General features: G+C 38.4%; 1 annotated feature.

The window, feature by feature from the left end:
* Positions 5,648-5,697: an enhancer, noted in NCBI's record as "active region_5453". NCBI's record gives its function as "activates an Ori minimal core promoter by ATAC-STARR-seq in GM12878 lymphoblastoid cells {active_cell/tissue: GM12878}" and the evidence as "EXISTENCE:reporter gene assay evidence [ECO:0000049][PMID:35858748]".

Below are 5,912 nucleotides of genomic sequence, written 5' to 3'. Positions count from 1 at the left end.
ACCCAAGACTGGGTCATTTAAAAGGAACAGAAATGTATTGTCTCACAGTTCTGGAGGCAAGGAATTTCAAGATAAATGTGCTGGCAGCTTAGGTGTCTGGTGAGGGCATCTCTCTGTTTTCAAGATGGCCCCCCTTAGTGTGCTCCCACATGGCAGAAGGGATGAACAGCTCCCTTACACCTTTCTTTAAAAACATTAATCCCATTCAGGATGGCTCTGCCCTCATGATTTAATTACCCCCTAAAGTCCTCACCTCCTAATACTATCACATTGGCAGTTAAGAATTTTGAAGAGACACATACATTCAAAGCATGGCAGTTGCCTGAAAGGCAGAAAGACAGGACAAAAGAAATAAGGAAAATTCAAGGGGTAGAATAACAGATTTCAACTACTCAGAAGTGGAGTACAATACTTAATTCAAACCAAAGGCCATTTAGAATCCCTAGCTACTCAATTTTCTCCATCATTCACTCATTTTATTTTTCAATTTCACCCTGGGGAAAACAGTTATTCATGTTAGGGTAAATCAATGTGCACACATATTTGCTATTGCTGGTTTCAGAAGTTTGTACTGAAAAAAAGAACAAGAAACAACATACACCCATCTGAATGAAAAGTTGTTGGATTTGAAATTTCCTGGATGAGTACTGGGAAGATTAGATTTAAAAAGAATCCACTCACTCTCCTTTAAGCAATGTTGAGAGATTGTACAATAGATGGAAATATGCATTTATGATTCATAGTCTTTGAAATGTAGATATAAATTATCAGGGCAGGCTGAGAGTCCTGAGTTAAGTGGAATGAAATTCTCAAAAACAAAGTTTCAAAGAAACAAATGAGAATTGCATTCTTCAAGGGTTTTTTTTTTTTTCCACATTACAGTACTGATCTTTGTATGCCTGAACTAGGAAAAACAGTGCATATTCATAGATAATACAAGACCCTTCCACAGAATGCAGCCCTGTGTGGAGTGTGTGAGACCGAAAGTGATATAGACATACCCAAGTCATGGTTTGTTCTAAGTTACAACTGCTGCTTTTCTATTACTTTAAATCCATCTCTATCTATTCAACCAACCAGTGGCTAAAAATAATTTTGAAAATTAAGTGGACATGAAGGTTAAATCAAGCATATTAACTCAATAGTAAATTTATAGGATAATGCATATTGCATAGCTGTAGACAATGAAAATTGGGAGAAAAGGACTGTTTATTGAGCAGCCTCTATGTACAGGTATAGTGATGGAGGCCTCACACAGTTGGCCTCACTTAGCCTTTATGTCACCCCATTTAAAATAGAGATTATTGTATTCATTTTACAAATCAAAAAGTGGTATCTCAGAATAATTGGTAATTGATGGATACGGCATTCTATCCTAGGTTCTGCCTGATTCCACAGCCTAGAATCAGATAGATAGAGATTTAGGTAGGAACTTATAAGAACTCTATAAACTTCTAGCAACATCTACATCTAACTGTGTGTCTTTGGTGAATTAAATATTTTTTTGAGTTCTTGTTTCTTCATGAATGAAACAACAGAAGCAGGCTGATTTCTAAGATTTCTGCTACTCTGACTATATGATGAGTGTGTGTATGTGTCTGTATCCATATGTGTGTTTGTGTCTATATTTATGCATGTATGTGCATTTATTTACAATACATATTCCTACATAAATGAAACAAGTATAAAACAGAAAAGTGTCTGGGCCGGGCGCGGTGGCTCATGCCTGTAATCCCAGCACTTTGGGAGGCCGAGGCTGGTGGATCACGAGGTCAGGAGATCGAGACCATCCTGGCTAACATGGTGAAACCCCATCTCTACTAAAAATACAAAAAATTAGCCGGGCGTGGTGGCGGGCGCCTGTAGTCCCAGCTACTCGGGAGGCTGAGGCAGGAGAATGGCGTGAACCCGGGAGGCGGAGCTTGCAGTGGGCCAAGATCGCGCCACTGCACTCCAGCCTGGGTGGCAGAGCGAGACTCTGTCTCAACAAAAACAGAAAAGTGTCTGTAATAAAAATACATGCTTAAATATGTGTATATTTGTATCATATATTCATATATGATGCATATGTAAAATTTATCACATACACATCCTTTAGGATTTACAATTTACTATGTGGCCAAACTAAGAACAAAGGTCCTAATTCTACAGCTGCTATCTAGGTCACAAAACCATTTCCTGTGACTCTCCAGTCATGTCTCTTCCTTCCTTTGGATGACTAGCAGATGGCTGAACTGAGTCTGGCTTGTCTGTGGGGGCGAATTTAATTGTTGGCCATTTGAGGCAAGTGTTGTTTTCCCTGTATCTTTGTTCAGCTCTTTGAAACTGAATAATGCAAGCACATTGAGAGACATTAACCAGCTTCATTAGTCCTCTCGCCAGATCTCCCCTCATAAGGGCGTTTTTCTGTCACTCACTGAACTATGTCCAGCTGCCCTTTAGCAACTTTGTCATGCGTCTATTGGGGTGAACTTGACCTTGACCTTGTCATGACATTGATCCTGGAAGTCCAGTGCTATTTGGAATTATGGGAAGAGAAGAACTCCATGATGCCAAGAAACACATGAAGAAAATTTTCAGGAGTCCCAATCTGTGGCTTGTGAGAAGAAGCTTTGAAACCATTTCTTTAGGTATCTGGAATCTAAACTAACATGAGCCTCATGTCAGTTTACCTATTTGAAAACAGAACAAAACAAAGAAAAGAACTCTAGGAAGGAAGTTAGCACACCTGAATTCCCATACTTCTTCTGGCTGGTGCAATGTAATCTTGAGCAAGGCAGGAATAGTGATCATGAGGGAGAACTTAGGAGCCTGACAAATTGTAGTTTTAATTCTGGTTTGACCATTTCCTAGTTTTGTGATCTTAGGTGAGTTACTCAGTATCTCTGAGCCTTTCTTCAAAGAAAGGATAATAATACTTACCCTACAACATTACTGTGATAATTCCAGGTAGTAATAGGATATTATAATGATATTGTGAACACTCAAAGGAAGCATTTTTTAATAAAATATTAAAATTAACTCTTGAACCATAGTAAGTATTTAAAATCTGTATGTTCAGTTCCATTTCACCTCAACCACTGGATCAGTCTTATGGAATACTTTGTATAAAAAGTCCATGGTAATTTTACATAAAACTGTATACCACCCTATAAAATTTATTCCACATGTATGTGTGTATCTGTGTGTGTATTACATTTCTGAAATATATAAACAGATACAGCTTTGTACACAGTAATTTATTGTGATACTATCATCAAAAAGTAAGATGTAGAAAAAAGGTTTTGATTTTAAAAAGATAATATAAAAAAGTTACACCTCACAGTGTGCTTCAAAATCATCTGTTAAGATATTACTTTCTTTCTCTTAATAAACATTTTTTGGCCAGTTTACCATTGGCATGAAGACTTTCATTGTCACCAAAGATATTTGAACATCATGCAACTCTTCTTCTTCAGACAACCCCAAGGCTGCAGTGGTTTTTTAGTCAACAACTGTGTGGCTTCTAATGAGGGGCAAGCCACACCCTAGCATCCTGACTAAGCAAAGGTTTTATTTGTTTGTTTCTTACTACAATATTGTTTCAGGGTAAAAAAAAATAACTTTATATGCACTGCTGATTCCAATTAGCAATTTACCTTATGTGGTTACCATATGTTAATCAATAGAAGATGCCCTTGATATAGCCTCAAGGACAAAAGTACAGTTAACAGCAGTGGTAGCATCTAAACGAAAGGGTGCCAATCTTCTCCCTAACCAGGGGAGAAATTAACATATGTATTAGGAAGTTTCTAGCTGATGAGATGACTGAACTATTATATATTTTTGTTTTTTAATTAGCAAATAATAATATTTATGCAGTACAGTGTGATGTTTTGATATATAAATATGTTATAGAATAATTAAATCAAGCTAATTAACAGATCCATCACCTCACATGCTTACCATTTGACATGGTTTGGCTGTGTCCCCACCCAAATCTCATCTTGGATTCTCACATGTTGTGTGAAGGACCTGGTGGGAGGTAACTGAATCATGGGGGCAGGTCTTTCCTGTGCTGTTCTCGTGATAGTGAATAAGTCTCATGAGATATGACAGTTTTAAAAAAGGGGAGTTTCCCTGCACAAGCTCTCTTCTCTTTTCTGCCGCCATGTGAGACATTGCCTTTCACCTTCCACCATGATTGTGAGGCCTCCCTGGCCACAAGGAACTATAATTTCAATAAATGTCTTTCTTTTGTAAATTGCCCAGTCTTGGGTATGTCTTTATCAGCAGTAAGAAAACAGACTAATATGTCATTATTTTGTGGTGCAAATATTTAAAATCTATCATCATAGTAATTTTAAATATACGTTACATATTATTAACTATAATCATCATGCTGTGAAATAGATATTTAAAACTTATTCCTTTTGCCTAATTGAAACTTTGAAACCTTGACTAATATCTTCTTTTCCCATCGCCCTTGCCCCACACCCTGCCTCCAGCTCCTGGCAGCCACCAGGAATCTACCCTCTACTTTTATGAGTTCAACGTTTTTAGATTCCACATATAAATGAGATCATGTGGGCCATTATATCTGATCTGAAAGAAAAAAAACATCTAACTGAGCCTGCACGTATGGATGACCTGTTAACAGTTTAGGGACAAGAACTGAAAGTAGGGAAAATAGCCTGGAGTTTAATATCTAAAATCCTAGGTTGGACAATATTCTAACTATGAGATCTTGGGAAAAATTACTGTGAGCCTCTGCTGCCTCAGCTGTAAAATGAGAGTAAAAACAATGCTTCCCTTTGGTGGTGATTTTGAAAAACAAAGGAGATAATTAATGAGAAATCATCATGTGAACAACAAAAAATCACTATATATAAATACAAATTATTGATGTACTTAAGCTTTCAGGAGACAGTTACGGGATGTGAGATCTATACCACAAGCAGAAAATAATGAACAAATCATAAGTACTGAGGTTCTGGGCAGTTTGTTATTGTTGCAAAAAGTAGTATCCAGTCACTCAGGAGTTCTGGATGGCTACTGTGGCTATTTGGACTGTAATGCAACCCTTGTGCCCTTCCTGGCAGAGCTGGGTGGGTTTTAGAGCAATTCCTAGCAAGGTCCAGGGCCTAGGCAATCCCTGGAGATTTTGAAGCAGCTCATCATTTATAGCAAAGGAAATTTTAAAGAGAAAAAGAAATATGGCCAAGGGTCAGGAGGTGGGGGTGGAGGGGTGTCCTAAGTGTCCATAAAGATGTCCTACCATCATTTCCTTTTTCACCCGTGTTTTACATGATCACCAGTCTTTTATACCTGGTTTCTTTTCTTCTTCACACTGTACCTACTATTTGGTCTATTTCATGCATTGCCATAATTTTGACTGCTATCTGCATAGAGATGCTTCCAAAATCCACATCTCTGCCCTGAGCTTGCCTTTCAGCCTGATATGATTTGGCTCTGTGTCCCCACCCAAATCTCATGTCAAACTGTAATCCCCACATGTTGAAGCAGAGGCTGGGTGGGAGGTGACTAAATCATGGAGCGGACTTCCCTCTTGCTGTTCTCATCATAGTGAATGAGTTCTCACGGTATCTGGTGGTTTAAATGTCTATGGCACTTCCCCTTTCTCTGTCTCTCTCTCTCCCCTGCTCTGCCATAGTAAGACATGCTTGCTTCCCTTTCACTTTCTGCCATGATTATAAGTTTCCTGAGGCCTACCAGTCATGTTTTCTGTTAAGCCTGTGGATCTGTCAGTCAATTAAACCTATTTTCTTCATAAATTACCCAGTCTCAGGTAGTTCTTTATAGCAGTGTGAGATCAGACTAATACACAGCCCAAACTACCTTTTGTGCATCTCCATATGGATGTCCCTGATACCGCAAGCCAGATCTGTTCAAGAACTCACTAGGTATCTTCC

Source organism: Homo sapiens, chromosome 11, assembly GCF_000001405.40.
Source record: "Homo sapiens chromosome 11, GRCh38.p14 Primary Assembly".
Classification (NCBI taxonomy): Eukaryota; Metazoa; Chordata; class Mammalia; order Primates; family Hominidae; genus Homo; species Homo sapiens.
This window is presented reverse-complemented; position numbering and strand designations above follow the sequence as displayed.